Source organism: Homo sapiens, chromosome 17 (assembly GCF_000001405.40).
Source record: "Homo sapiens chromosome 17, GRCh38.p14 Primary Assembly".
Lineage (NCBI taxonomy): Eukaryota > Metazoa > Chordata > Mammalia > Primates > Hominidae > Homo > Homo sapiens.
This window is the reverse complement of record NC_000017.11, coordinates 40800671-40817220: the sequence shown is the minus strand read 5'-3', so window position 1 is coordinate 40817220 and position 16550 is coordinate 40800671. Positions and strand designations below refer to the sequence as shown.

Sequence of the window (16550 nt, the reverse complement as noted above, 5' to 3'; positions counted from 1 at the left end):
TCAAGGCTTCATAACCTGCTTAGCACCAAATATTAGCACAGCCCAGAGGCTCTCCATTTTCGTTCCTGTGCCTCTAAATGCCTAAATGTCTAAATGCTCACATGCCTCTGGATATTTGTACCAGCTAACCTTGGGAGCCAGTCTTCTCAGATCCACTATTGAAGTCCCAACACGCCTCACTGCGTAGAGCCCTGAAACACTGTGAAGTCCTTACGTCGCTGTATAAGGACTCTGAACTCCTACTGTGTAAATAGTGCTATACTGCCTGCTGTTCAGAAACACCATCTTTTAAAATATGTATTATAAGGTTAACCAAATCCCCGGGACCTATTGTACTTATAATCTGAGGTTACCATTCACCTTATTCTGAAGAAATAGATTTTTTATATTCAATACCACTGATACGAGGCAAGTACACATATGTTACTATGAGATAGCAGTGCTTGCTGTTAAGTTTGTCTCTTCTACCCATTCTGCCCTCCTCCCCCAGGCCACAATCTTAGCAGTCAGAGTCCTCTATGTGGTTGGATGGTGACCCAAACTTTCATTCCTGAAAAGTCTGCATACATCGTGGTCCTGTCTTCTTACCATTTCAATCTTGCAATACCTCCTTAAACAATTATTTATATTCTCTCTGATAAAGTAAATACTTTATCTCAGATAAACAGCTGCTTTCTTGATTGGACTTGGATAACTATGGTTTGTTTTTGCTTTTTTTTTTTTTTTTTTAATGAGACAAAGTCTCACTGTGTTGCCCATGCTAGTCTTGAACTGGGCTCAAGCAATCCTCCCACCTCAGTCTCTGAGTAGCTGGGATTATAGGCACATGCCGCAGTGCCCAACACTATGGTTTAATAAAGATAATCTGTCTAAATAAGCCACTTGTCTTTAATAAGGACATTGGTATTTATAGTAAAAAAAATTACAGAATTATTTTTAAAAATTATTAAATAGCACAGGGCACTATTTTTACCAAATAAATTTGCATGTACCTATTAATCAAAAAATTCTGTATGCATTCTTACAGATTCTAAAGTCATTACAGAATCCTGCTATTTAAGCAGGGTAGTGCCTAATTAGATTGGCAGAGCCAATTCGGCACCCATGTCAAAAAATATTACACGATAAAATCCTGTTTCCCCAAAGATGTTCTCTTATGATGCTAAAGGCCTAAAAGCTTTGCACCCTAATCTTGGTGCCCATGATGGCTTGATATTTTGCTTGGGAGTGAAGAAATAGCTTTGTTAGGGTCATCTTTATCAGGGAAGTAACTCGATTAAGGTTAAATAGGATGCATCTAATATTTCTCATCTATATTGCATTTTGAGAATGGGAATTAGGGAAAGAGCTTATTCATGGTTTATGAGCATGCAACTGAAACACAGTGATCCCTGGACTTCCTATCCTGGCACTGGCATTTACAAATTATGTACCTTTGGACAAGTTACTTCAACCCTTCTGAGTCTGTTTACTTACCTATACAATAAGGGATAGCTACCTTATATGAGGTAGTTGTGGTTAAACTAAGCTTGACAATGAAAATAATGATAATAATAGCCTTTAAATCACACCGGGCATTGTTCTGAGTAAATGATGGATGGATAGATAGGTAGGTAGGTGGGTAAATGTGTGGATGGATAGATAGATAGATTAGATAGATAGATAGATAGATAGATAGATAGATAGATACAGATAGGTAGGTAGACTCAGTACATATAACATGTATATGAACTCATTTAAGCTTAGCTACTACCCTACAGTTTATTTTCAACACAGAACCATAGTTATCCTTTTAAAATGTAAGTCTAATATATTAGATCAAATTGTAAGTCTAATTATATTTGATCAAAATTCTTTGATGTCTCTCCATTTCTCTTTTGATGTTACCTTGGTTAATATTCTTTAACAAGATGGTCTTCCTTACCTCCTTCAAGCCTTTGCACAGTTGTCACTTTTTCTTTGAGACCCACTCTGATTTTCCGCTTAAAATTTTACCTGCCAATCTCCCAACTCCCCTATCTGCTCCACTTTTTTTATTATTATTATACTTTAAGTTCTAGGGTACATGTGCAGAATGTGCAGGTTTGTTACGTAGTTATACGTGTGCCATGTTGGTTGGCTGCGCCCATTAACTCGTCATTTACATTAGGTATTTCCCCTAATTCTATCCCTCCCCCAGCCCTCTACCCCACAACAGGTGTGTGATGTTCCCCACCCTGTGTCCATGTGTTCTCATTGTTCAACTCCCACCTATGAGTGAGAACATGTGGTATTTGGTTTTATGTCCTCGTGATAGTTTGCTCAGAATGATGGTTTCCAGCTTCATCCATATCCCTGAAAAGGACATGAACTCATCCTTTTTTATGGCTGCATAGTATTCCCTGGTGTATATGTGCCACAGTTTCTTAATCCAGTCTATCATTGCTGGACATTTAGGTTGGTTCCAAGACTTTGCTATTGTGAATAGTGCCACAATAAACATACGTGTGCATATGTCTTTATAGTAGCATCATTTATAATCCTTTGGATGTATACCCAGTAAAGGGATCGCTGGGTCAAATGGTATTTCTAGTTCTAGATCCTTGAGGAATTGCCACACTGTCTTCCACAATGGTTGAACTAATTTACACTCCCACCAACAGTGTAAAAGCGTTCCTATTTCTCCACATCCTCTCCAGCATTTGTTGTTTCCTGACTTTTTAATGACCGCCATTCTAACTGGTGTGAGATGGTATCTCATTGTGGTTTTGATTTGCATTTCTCTGATGACCAGTGATGTTGAGCATTTTTTCATATGTCTGTTGGCTGCATAAACGTCTTCTTTTGAGAAGTCTGTTCATTTCCTTTGTCCACTTTTTGATGGGGTTGTTTTTTTCTTGTAAATTTGTTTAAGTTCTTTGTAGATTCTGGATATTAGCCCTTTGTCAGATGGGTAGATTGCAAAAATTTTCTCCCTTTCTGTAGGTTGCCTGTTCACCATGATGATAGTTTCTTTTGCTGTGCAGAAGCTCTTTAGTTTAATTAGATCCCATTTGTCAATTTTGGCTTTTGTTGCCATTGCTTTTGGTTTTTCAGTCATGAAGTCTTTGCCCATGCCTGTGTCCTGAATGGTATTGCCTAGGTTTTCCACTTTTTCTTTTTTTCACAGCACTGTTTCCAACTTACTATACAATGTATTCATTATTAGTCATCCTTTTCCCCTGCTAGACGGTACACTCCAGAAAGACAACGCTTGATCTTCGTCTACTTTATCCATTCATGTATCCTGAGGCACTAGAACAGTGACTAACACAGGTTAGGTACCAAAAATATCGTTTTTGAAGGAATGAACTCTATGACATATATACTATTATTATCTCCATTTTACAGATGAAGAAACTGAAGCACAATTTAATTCATCACTGGAACTAAGAGTGTAGGAAATGATTATATATAAATGGACATTAGTGTATGATAAAGGAAGAATCTAAACCCTAAGAAAGTAAGGTTTATTCAGTAAATGATAAACTATTAAACCCATAACAAACATACTAGAAATAATCCAAATGAGTGTCTTAAACATCCATATAAGTAGTAAAAAAAAAGCAGAAAAAAATGTGTAATCACATTTTTTAAATTTTGAAATAATTATAGACTCGTTGGAAATTGCAAAAATAGTAGAGTCCAGTGTACTCCTGACTCACCTTCCCCAAATAGAGACATCTTCTATAGGCTAGGGTATAATATCTAAAATTTAAAAATTGGCATTGGTACATCACTGTTTAACTACAGAGCTTACTCAGTTTTTGTTTTTCCTAACCTGCATGTGTATTCACAAAATACAAATCTTATAAAGGACTGGCATATAGAATATAAATATAAAAAACTATAACTCAATAACAAGAAAAAACCACAAACCAAAAAAAAATTGTGTGTCTGTGCAATTGTACCCCATGTATAGGTACAATTTTTGTACCACCACCCAAATCAAGATACAGAACCATTTCATAACCACAAAAGAACTCCTTCATGCTACCTTTTTGTATTCACATGTGTACCTCAACACTCCCTTCCCAGTTCCTGGCCCCTGGCAACTACTAATCTCCATCTCTATAGTTTTACCATTTAGAGAATGCTATATAAGTGTAATCACACAGTATGTAACCTTTTGAGACTGAACATTTGTGTACACGTTTTGGTGTGAACATACATTTTCATTTCTCTGGGTTATATGTCCAAGCATATAATTGCTAGGTCATATGGTAGGTGCATGTTCAGTTTTGTAAGAAACCGCCAAACTGTTGTCCAGAGAAGCTGTACCATTTTATATTGCCACCAGCAATAAATGGGAGAGCAAATTTTTCTGCATCCTCATCAGTATTTGGCATTATCAGTATTTTTCTAATAGGTATGTACTTATAGCTCACTGAAGTTTAATTTGCATTTCCCTAATGGAAAATATGCTGAATAGCTTTTCTTTTTATTTTCTTTTTTTTCTCTCTCTTTTTTCTTGTTTTGAGACAGAGACTTTCTCTGGCGCCCAGGCTGGAGTGCAGTGGAGCAATCTCAGCTCACCGCAACCTCTGCCTCCCAAGTTCAAGTGATTTTCCTACCTCAGCCTCCTGAGTAGCTGGGATTACAGGCATGCGCCACCATGCCCAGCTAATTTTTGTATTTTTAGTAGAGATGAGGTCTCACCATGTCAGCCAGGCTGGTCTCAAACTCCTGACCTCAGGTGATCCACCCACTTCAGCCTCCCAAAGTGTTGGGATTACAGGCGTGAGCCACTGTGTCTGGCCTGAACAGCTTTTCATGTGGCTATTTGCCATCCGTATCTCCTCTTTGGTGAAACATCTGCTCATGTATTTTGATCATTATATAGCCCATTTGTATTTCATTGTGTTCTTTTCACTTAGGATTACTTTGGCTATTCATGATCTTCATCGGTCCCATATGAATGTTAGAATAGTTTCTTCTAGTTCTGTGAAAAATTACATTGGTGATTTGATAGGAATAGCATTGAACCTGTAGTTCGTTTTGGGCAGTATGGTCATTTTAACAATATTGACCCAATATCATTATTCACCCAATCCATGAGCATATGATGTTTTTCCATTTGTTTGTGTCATCTATTGAAAGTCACCGTCAAAATAATTTTAAAAAGCCAAAGACTGGGAGAAAATAGTCACAAAAATACAAATCTTATAAAGGACTGGCATATAGAATATAAATATAAAAAACTACAACTCAATAACAAGAAAAAAACCACAAACCAATTAAAAAATGGACAAAAGATTTGAACTGATACTTTATCAAAGAAGAGATACAAATGGCAAATAAGCACACAAAGAAGATGCTTGACATCATTAGACATTAGGGAAATACAAATTCTAAACATACCACTATACAACTATTAGAATGACTCAAAAAAAATTTTTTGATGGACAATACCAAGTGCAAGTAGGGATTCTGAGCAACTGGAACCCTCATATATTGCTAGTGGGAATGCAAAATTATAGTTTGGCAGTTTGTCATCGTGTTAAACATAGACTTAACATACAATCTAGCAATCTCACTCATAGACATTTATCCAACTGAAATAAAAATATCTACATAAAGACCTATGAGGAAAATTTAGAGCAGCTTTATTCATAATCATGAAATCTGAAAATAGCCCAAATGCCCATAAACTAGTGAATGGAAAAAAATATGGTACACCCATATATGAAATGCTACAAAAGAAACAGACCACATTACATCTTGAAATTCAAAAGCATTATGCTAAGTGAAAGATGCTAGACTCAGAAGGCTATATGTTATAGCTCATTGATATGAAATTCAAGGAAAAGTCAAACTAGAGAGCTAAAAACAGATCAGAGATTGTCAGAGGGTAAAGGGAGTGTGTTTACCACAAAGAGGTACAAGAGGATTTTTTGGAATGATGGAAGTATTCTCATATTCTCTGTTTTGTTTATGGTGGCCATTGTACAACTGAATTTGTTTGTCAAAATTAATTGAACTATACACCAAAAAAAGGTAAATTTTACTTTATGCACATTAAACCTCAATAAACCTGACTTTTAAAAAAAAATGAAAATTAAAAACAGCAATTGAACATTTAGCTTTTTATTTTTCTAGTGTGGTCAGTTTCTGCTGTATTTTCAGCTCCAAAAAAAGCTTGTACTCTGAGGACTAAAGAGCATGAAAATTTCTTTATAGCAAAAAAAAAAAATAGCACAGGTAAATAATTTCCTTATAATGGATTTTTTAATGAACAAACTTTGTGAATCATATTCTTAATCTATAGAACCAACGGATTAATTAAAGTTGAACCATAGCCTGCCTGTAATCACACGTTTATATTTGTGCAGCCTGTTATTAGAAAGAAAAGATGGAGGTGTCATAACGCACAACCTTTAAAACTCCTGCTTCTCCTGGAATGTTGTTTTGGTAGTTGGTTTGGGAATGTGAATGAGTAATGTTTGGACAACTGGGTTACTTATGGTGGGAAGAGTTAAAAGGAGTTGGTATGTAATCGCTACTTGATGCCAAGCCAAAAGAAATATAGAAACTCACGGCAATGTCTCCTCTCACCTAGGTGTATCCTCACCCTTCTACGCTCCATGGTGATCTTCCTGCCAAGATTTTTCTCCAATCAAAAGTCCATCTTCCACTTTCTCTTTGGAAAAAGAATGCGTAACAGTCTCACTACTGCCCATCACCTATTCCCTTTCACTGACATCTCCCCAAGCCCAACTATCATTTTCTGCCTTTAAAAAATAACTGGAATTTATATAAATCAATCCAACGCCTATCATAGACCTTGGTTCACAGTATGCATTAAAATATGTATTGGTTGATCATTCCTTCTGCAGTGTCAAGCACTGTGCCAGGCAACAGTGATTAAAAATAATGAATGAAACCCAGTCCTTGCCTTCAAAGAACTCAGAAGTAGAAATAGATGTACAACTACACAGACATGGTAGAAAGCACTACACAGAAGTAAGCCCAGGTTGCCATGGGAGCTTGACAATGCAATAGTCCTCCCTGTACAATTGAGATGACCTCTAGCAACCTATGCCTTCCAAAATGTCTACAGGTAATCTACATACACATTCAAATTAAACTTTCTATTATTTCACTGTTTTTTCATCTGCCCTGTCAGTAGAGCTGATTACCTTCTGCAAAAATGGGGACAAAGACTAAGATATCACATCTTGGCAGGAACACCATGCTTTACAGTATTTATTTGTGGAAACTGTGTTAAGAGGGGAAAAATGAAATAAGCACACTGGAATTTCCACTCTGTTCTAATTATGGAAAGCCATTTAAACAGTGATAAGACTCTATTGTTCATAAACACTACTTAGAATTATAATTATCTCCATGTGCGGGATACTGTGTTATGCGGTCAGGACATACCAAAGTATGTCAAGAAGTAGTATAGAAGAACAGTGTAACACTGTGTGTGTGCACAGATCTTTGCAATTCTCAATATACTTACACCTCTATGTAGAAATCATCTTCAGAACAACCTGGGGACATATGCAGGGTTCAGAAATATGTAATGATTTCCCCAAGGTCTCATGGATAGCAGCTGGCAGACCTAGGTCTTATATGTGGGATTTCTGATTTCAAGCCTAGAGCTCCTTCCTCTAGAGCAGTGATTACTAGACATTTCTTATTACAGTAAAAACATTTGAGTATGCACCCCCAAGATGTCCATATTTATTTTAAAATTATATAAAATATATGTATGTGTATATATACTATCAGATAGCTCAATGCACAACATGTATTTAGCATAAAGACTGTAGACCCAAATCCTTATTTTAAATAATCTTTTTGAGAACTCCAAATTTTATCAGCTGATTTCTTGTGGAATATAATACCACCATTATGATGATTATTGTATTATATTTTACCCAATAATGTGGCTGGCAAAGAACTCTTAACAGAAGTGGAAGTGTCAGCTGTCCCATTTTTTTGTTCTTCAATCATGCTTTCATGATTCTGTTATCTTCCAGTTGCTGTTTCTTTGCTGTTTCTGGTGGGGAGGGGGGATTCGCTCCATTAAAAGCAGCAATACAATCCTGAAATACAATGGACATAAACTGCAATGTCACAGTGCATTGCAAGCAAATGAAGATGTCACTATCCACTTCTCTACATTGTGGGGTGAACATTCTTTTCTCAGAATATCTTTTGAGCTGATTGAGAAGAGAGATTGACATAAAGATAAAATCAGAATGCCAATGTCATTCTTATATTAAATATGAGTTTAGTTTAATTCTTACTTTCTAATACAAAAACTTAAATAGAAGTTCTGACACCCTCTTCCTCCCACCCAGTGGGTTGCCTGCATCTCCTAAAAGTACATACTTTACTTGGAGACCAGTGCTCTGTAGTGCTTAGCCCTGCTCCTTCCTATATTTTGCCAGTAGTTCTGACTTACATTCCTTTTTTATAGCAAATATTTTGATTCACCCCCTTTACTATTGAGAAATGAAATTCATAGGTAATATATCCTTCCAACACACAGTTTATCCTAGTATACGGAGGAGGAGCAGGGGTGGGTACTATAAATATCACATGTACAAAACATATACTTATCACTTCTGTGTTTCATATATACATTTTTATATATCATATATAGAAACTGGCCGGGCATGGTGGCTCACACCTGTAATCCCAGCACTTTGGGAGGCTGAGGCGGGCAGACCATGAGGTCAGGAGTTTGAGACCAGCCTGGCCAACATGGTGAAACCCCATCTCCACCAAAAATATAAAAATTAGCCAGGTGTGGTGGCACATGCCTGTAATCCCAGCTACTCAGGAGGCTGAGGCAGGAGAATTGCTTGAACCCGGGAGGCGGAGGTTTCACTGAGCTGAGAGCACACCATTGCACTCCAGTCTGGGCAACAAGAGCAAGACTCCGTCTCAAAGAAAAAAAAAGAAAAGAAGATAAAGAAACTATGCATGGGAAGTTTATATTATCTATGATTATAATCTATAGTGTGTAGAAAGGTTAATGATAGATGTAAAAGAAAAACAGAAGGAAAGATAACTTGTAATAAAATTATTTGCATTTCAATATGGAAATGTTCGAGTATGATTGTACCAGAAGATGTAATGAAGTAGTCAAATGATTGCATCTATATGCAAAACCAGCGAGAATGCAAAAAGGTACAAATGAAGAGAGACTGATAAACGTGGGCACATCACTGACTTAAATACAATGAGCAGCAATGTTGTTGGTGATGGGATTTTTTAAACAACCCTTGATCAAATTCTGGGCAAAATAAGCTTAAGTACAATCTTCCTTGATTTATACAGCAATTACATTCCTAAAAAAATTCAGTTACAACTTTGCACACACACAAAAAAAAACTTTGTGTTTTTACATAACTTAGAACTCGTTTCCAGATTCAGGTAATTATAAACAGGTTTTTCACTTTCATGAATAGCTCATGGTTCAAAAGTCATGTGGAACACAGGACAATTCCTTGATGTCCAGGACTGTATCATGCATTTCATTATGTCTGGCATCCCTCCCCGACCCCAAATGCCAGCAACAACCCCTATCATTATGATGACCACATGTGTACACATTCACACATAGACACACACACTTCCAAAATATGCCCTCAGCAGCAGTACCCCTTGCACAGAGATTGAGGACTAGGCTTTCATTCCTGGTGTATCAAGAATCTCTACAGCGGCCAGATACAGTGGCTCACGCCTGTAATCCCAGCACTTTGGGAGGCCAAGGTGAGCAGATCACATGAGGGGAGGAGTTCAAGACCAGCCTGGGCAACATGGTGAAACCCCATCTCTACTAAAAAACACAAAATTTAGCCAGGCGTGGTGGCATGTGCCTGTAACCCCAACTACTCAGGAGGATGAGGCATGAGAATCCCTTGAACCTAGGAGGTGGAGGTTGCAGTCAGCCGAGATTGTGCCACTGTACCCTAGCCTGGACGACAGAGCGTAGGAAAAAATCTTGTCAGCATGTCCCTGGTAACACCTTGGGTAGTCCTTTTGTAAATTAGATTTTAATCTCAGCAAGGTTAGGTCTGTCTGCCTTACTCATAGGTAGCTGTAAACCCACACCTAGCACAATTCTCAACACACAAGCTGAGGCTCAATAAATATTGGTTAAGCCAGTGACAAAATCAGTGAGTCACCTACAAGTGAGTCCATGGACTACAAGACCTCCCAAGGCAAATCCAGGGATGCTGGGGTTTAAAAAAATGGAAAAAATAATTCATGCCATCCAGGCTCTCCCAAGTGCTAGGAACTTTTCTAGCTCTCCATCTTCATGACTTTCTTCATGGTAAACACCTAAACTCCGTTAAAGACTGCCCCCAATAATAGCAACTTCCCCCACAGCGGGTAATTTAGGGGCTTGAGACACTGGATCATAACCAGTGACGACACTTCTAGGTGCAAATCTGGGTAGTGTCACTCAAATGCTTTCCAATTCACTCACTGGTGCTATTTGTTCCCCTCTTTCTCAGGAACCAAGAGAAGGGCTGAAATAAACAGTTACCTATGGGAGCTTCATAAAAGCTGCAAATGCTGGTGCAAAAAAAACCCCTCACCACCATGAACAGAGCAGAGGAATGGTGTAGCAGAAACAGCTGTGTCCGACAACGGATGAAGCTGCTGAACTACATCAAGGGCTTGGTGCACCAGCTCTTTTCAGAACAATCATCCCCAGCACCTTGCCAGGAGGAGGGTAGGGATTTGGAGTCCCTGAGACTTTAATTCAGTGGGTGGGATACATTCATTCATTCATTCAACAAATATCATTGAGGCAGGCAATGTGCTAGGCCATGGAGATAATAAGTTAAGACATAGCCATTCCCTGTGATACATGCCATAGAAAATGTACATGTCGGGGGCTAAGGACCATGGACAAGGCACCGTGACATCCAAATCAGAATGGAATGTCAGGGAAGGTTTGCTAGAAGATGTGGCTCTTGAACTGAGCCTTGGTGGATGGTAGAAATTAAATATTTCAAAAGGTTGGGAAGAGCATTATAGAACAACTGGGGGCGTAGTTACAAATACTACACTGAGGTACCCAACTTCAAAACTGTGATCCATGTGATATCTCTACAGAATCTTTATTTCTTTGTTGTTGTTGCTGTTATTTGTTTTTGAGGTAAAGTCTCACTCTGTTGCCACAGCTCACTGCAGCCTCTACCTGCTGGGCTCGAGAAATCCTCCTATCTCATCTCCCGAATAGCTGACACCACAGATGCATGCCACCATGCCTCGCTAATTTTTTTTTTGAGATGATAGTCTCACTCTGTTACCCAGGCTGGAGTGCAGTGGCATGATCTTGGCACACTACAACCTCCAAATCCGGGGTTCAAGTGATTTTCACAACTCAGCCTCTTGAGTAGCTGGGATTACAGGTACACGTGGCCACCCCCAGCTAATTTTTGTATTTTTGGTAAAGACAGCGTTTTGCCATGTTGGCCAGGCTGGTCTCAAATTCCTGACCTCAAGTGATCCACTCACCTCAGCCTCCCAAAGTGCTGGGATTACAGGCATGAGCCACAGCACCCAGCCCAGAATCTTTATTTCTGATCAACATCGGTAGTAGGGTATTGATAGTTGGTGACATAATCCCAGAAGACAGCACAACACAGTAGAAACAACCATAGCTGCAAATGCTAGCACCATCACTCACCATTTGGAAACAATCAATTTCTTTGCCTTTTCTAGCTTCTAGAAGCCACATGCATGTCTTGGCTCATGGCCCCATCCTTCATCTTCAAAGACAGCAGCATAGCATCTTCCAATCTCCGTCTCTGCTTCCACTATCCCATTGCCTTTTCTGACTCTGACACTCCTTCCTCCTTCTAAGGACCCTTATGATTATATTGGGTCCACCCAGATAATCCAGGATAATCTCCCCATCTTAATATCTTTAATTTAATCACATCTGTAACGTTTCTTTTGCCATGGAAGGTAATGTATTCACAGGTTCTGGGGGTTAGGACGTGGACACCTTTGGTAGGGCCATTATTTTGCCTATCTCAAGAATCATCTTTAATTCTTCTCTATTCCTGTCCTCCCCATCCTTACCACAGCTATGTATTACCAGGTGCAATAAAGACATTCTCCAAAATTATCCCAATTCCATCCACTTCTATCTTAACTACCCTGGCTCATCTGAATTACTGCAACTGGCTTTGTAATGGTTTCCCCCGACACACTCTCACTCCCCTCCCATCCATTCTCCATCACTCATCTACTTAAACTTCTCAATGGCTTCCCTTTATGCTTGGGTTCAAATTCAAAATCCCTAGCCTGGTCCAATAAATCTCTTCATGGGCAGCCCTCTGCAGTCCTCTCTCCCTGCACACTCACCACCAGCAATAATGGTTTTCTTCCAGTTCCTTGAAGGCACCATACCCTTCTCTTCTCAAGCTAAAAGAAAAAAACTTTATTTTATTTATATTTTCTTCCCCTCCCAAAATGCCTCTTCGCCCACCCCCTTGCCTAGCAATCTCTTTCTCATCTTTCCAGTGTCTGCTTAATGTCATTTCTTCAAAAGGATTGCTTTAATCTAAATTAGGTCCTCCCCTAATAGTTCCATATTCCTTCCTTCCCTAATTTTTACAGCAATTTGTAATTTTATGCTTATTTGCTTAAGGCTCAACTCCCCAATAAACAATAAGTTCCATGAGAGTTGAGAAGGCCTCTATTTTCTTCCCCTTGGTACCACCTGCCACTAATGCAATGCCTGGCACATAATAGGTGTTCACTAGATCAAAAAAAAAAAAGTACTGGTCACTAGGCTTAGTACTTGGATGACAAAATAATCTGCACAGCAAATCCCCATGATATGAGTTTACCTGTATAACAAACCTGCACATGTATCCCTGAACCTAAAATAAACGTTTTAAAAAAATAGGTGATCACTAAATATTTCTTGACTGAACAAATGAGTGAATGAATGAATGACACCTGATAGCAGAACTGTAGCCAAAAATTTTATTTTGCTATTAATTCGAAATTCTGCAAAGAATTTGTAAGAAGACAAATTAAAGACATTAAAGACAGATTTTTGCATTGTTTGGTTTTCATTTCTCTACCTGACCTTAAGATAATTATGAACTGAAAGGACCACCTCACTGAGACACAAGGCGCGTTCTGGGCCTTGTCCATCCCGTTTCACACTGTGTATCCTTGAATGGTTCCTCTGTTTCCTTATCTTTAAAACAGGGAAAGAAAACCTCTCTCTTCCTAATTCCCACCTTCATTATAAGGTTCAAATGAGATCATATACAAGAAATCCCTTTGGAAGCTGTAAAGCAGCATATCAATGTAAGGCCATCGTGTCTTTGTACTTATCACACTCTGTAACTTCACAAAATTAAATGCTGAAGCTGCTTGTTTGCAGAGGTTTAATCATTTCCACCTGAGGACAGCAGGGACCCAGGCTGGAGAGGAGGTTCCGCCCCTGGCATCTGCGCGGCGAAATCCATATGTAAACGAGCCCTGCCCCCTGGTGGAAGGAGAAGGGTGAGCGTGCCCGGCAACTGGGATGGTCAGGATCCTAATGACAGACGCTGGCTGAAAAGGAGAATCCGCTTATTTAAGCATATACTTTTTAAAGAAATAGTTTGTCATTTTTTCTTTTTGTTGTTTTCATGTGTTTTTTAAATTAACAAATTATAATTGTGTATATTTATGTTGTACAACATGATGCTTTAAAATATATGTACTTTTTAAAGAAAACAAAAAAAAACCCAGGGTGATGTTTTAAAATATGTATACATTTTTAAAGGAAAAAAACCCAGTTTTCTTTTGATTAAGAAAAGTTAAAAAAAAGACAAAAAGAAAATACGTGTACATTGTGGAATGGCTCAGTCAAAGTAATTAACCCACACATCACCCCATATCTGTATCATCTTTTGTGGTGAAAACACTTAAATTCTACTCTCTTAGCAATTTTCAAGTATGCAATGCATTGTTGTTTCTTTTCTTGTTGTAAAATGGCCTTTTGGAAACATTTTACTTACTTATAAAGGATACAGACACGTTACACCAATGAGTTGTCTAATTATTATTTGGAGTTTAGTAATAAATGAGAGATTTGCAATTCTTTATACATTTTCATATTCTAATTCCTTATAGCTAAATCTCAGCAATTCAATTAGAATCATTTTACAACTCACGCGTGTTAAGACTATGGATGGTGTATGCTAGAAAATTTCAGCTTATATATTTCCCTATGTGTTACATGCGTTTTATTTAACTTTGTTATACTGTGTATATTGTGTACATACTGGACAAGTGAGTCCTAATTTTATAATATCTAGTCTCTAGATATTAAAGAGGTTGCCAATGTTTAAAAAAAGACTACAAATGGCAACATATAAAGTATTTGTATGAGCATGCATCATAGAGTAATTACTTATGTCTAAATATATTCACGGTGCCAGAATACCAAGGTCAACTTGAACATATGCCACGTTTTCACCTGGCCTATCCCTCACAGCTCTGAGCAAATTGTTCAACATTTCTGAGTCTCAGTTGCCCTGAACTGCCAAATAAGGGGCTAAATTAGGTGATGTCTAAGGCTCTTTGCAACTCTAAAAATATCCTACAACTTTGTCCAGAAAATGCATCTTAGAGGCCACACGCGAGCCACCCTCAGCACCAGCTAATCAGGCTCCAGACTGTTTAGGCCAAGGCAATTCCAGGAGACCACCCCTGACTATTCTGGTGGCAAAACAATTTTATACTTGTCATCACTCCCTGAACCCAGTCAAATCCAACCAAGTGGACTCAAAACCAGTCACGTCCAACCAAGTGTCTCCTGTCCCTTGTCCCTCCTTTTTCCTGCCCTGCCAACCCTCTTCATCCCCACCCTCCACAGCCATGGCCTCAAGAGGAAGGAGGCTTCTCCTTGGTCACCTCTCCTTCCCTTCCAGCCTGATGTCCCAGCCCTCCACACTCACACACCCAGTTAGGAACAACACCAATAGTAATAATAATGGCTTCCATTCATTGACAGTTTTCCATTTGCCAGGCACCGCACTAAGCATGATCTCATTTAGTTTTTCAACAAGCTTATGAGGTGGAAACTCTTTTTACCCACACTTTGACAATTACATGAACCTTTTCTGCAGACCTCTCTGCAAAATAGTTCAACTGAAATGATTCTTTAATAGCATTAACCACTTTCTGCTGAATTGTCCTAACAACTTTTTCTATCAGAAACTTATCCTTCATCCTCGATCTCCATTCCCATCTCTCTCCCCTTTCCTCTCATTTTCTCCCACATCTTTTCCTCTCATTTTCTCCCACATCTTTTCTTGTCATCTCCTCTCCATCCTCCTTCTTCACTTCCATCTCCTCTTCTGCTCCCACTTCCACACACCTAACATAAGGACTTCAAGGCAGAGTCTGTGTTCTCTAGATCCCCAATGCCACATCTAGCTTTGTGCCACTTAATTCTTATGCTAAGACTCCTCTTTTGAGGCAAATGCCATCCAATGGCCCCTCACCACATACACTCCCCTCTGCCTCATCATCCAAAAACCTTGACAATGGCTCACAGCCCACTTCCCTCCTGTCTCCTGCCATCATGAGAAACTTCACGCCTTTATAGATGGTACATTTAATGTCACAGACAGATAGTTCCTGACCTCCTACTCTCTTGCCTTTCAGGTCCAATCCACTTCTGACTTCTTGTTCCAGTGACTGTTGGTCCACTCCCATGACTACTCTGTGGACTTTGGTGACACCTGGAGTTGTGCCTACTTTAAAATTCTAAATTCTGGTTTCCACTATCCAATTTTAGCCTGTCATCCTTCACCTTTATCAATCTCCTCCTCACACTCCGCCTGCTCCATGACCTCATAAGGATACCCAATGACTCACCCTCTGCCCTTTTCTTCAGTCCATCTGTCCCTCTGGTTTTACTTTCTTCTTGCTATATGATCATACAGTCAATCGCCTCAATTGTTTTCTCAAGAACACCAGAAATTTCTTTGCCACTATTTCCTTCTTCTGGACCTGTCTTCAAATCCCAAAACCCACATCAATCTGATCATCATCCTTTCTATTCCTGCACCAGGATTACTTCCAAATATGCAGTTGAACATCATTATAAATGAGAGCTGGACCCTCCAATTTTCTTTTACTCATTGCTAGTCAAGTATTTTTCCAGTTCAGTATACATATTCTAAACAGTCATTCTTGCTATCAGTCACCTTCATCTGGAACATTCTGGCAACCCCTCAAATCCAGTTGGTCCAAACCTAAACTCAGTGTCTTCCTCCTCCTCTATTCCCCATCTCAGTGAATATTATGAGTTCCCAGAATCTAAAATTAATTACCTAAGAGTTATCCCCAATTCTGCCTTATTCCCTACTCTCCAAATTCAATCATATTACCATATGCTCTCAAAGCCATCTTCTCTGCATCCCCACTGCCTTCATCCTTCTCACCTGGACCATTATTCCAACCTTGTAATTGACCACCTTGTTTCATTTCAACCTGATCATTTTGCCCTCTGCTTTTTACTTAGGATTCATTAC

General features: G+C 38.9%; 1 long non-coding RNA gene across 2 annotated transcripts; it reads right to left on the bottom strand.

Annotated features, from left to right (window-relative positions):
- Positions 3093-15887, bottom strand: LOC105371776 (uncharacterized). Of its 2 annotated transcripts, XR_934752.2 has the most exons (6): positions 15657-15887; positions 13421-13575; positions 12367-12426; positions 7905-8072; positions 6574-6658; positions 3093-3273 (listed from the first exon to the last, which is right to left on the bottom strand). It is a non-coding gene; the product is annotated as an uncharacterized LOC105371776 (long non-coding RNA). The 2 variants fall into 2 exon arrangements; XR_934753.2 differs by lacking the exons at positions 12367-12426; positions 13421-13575.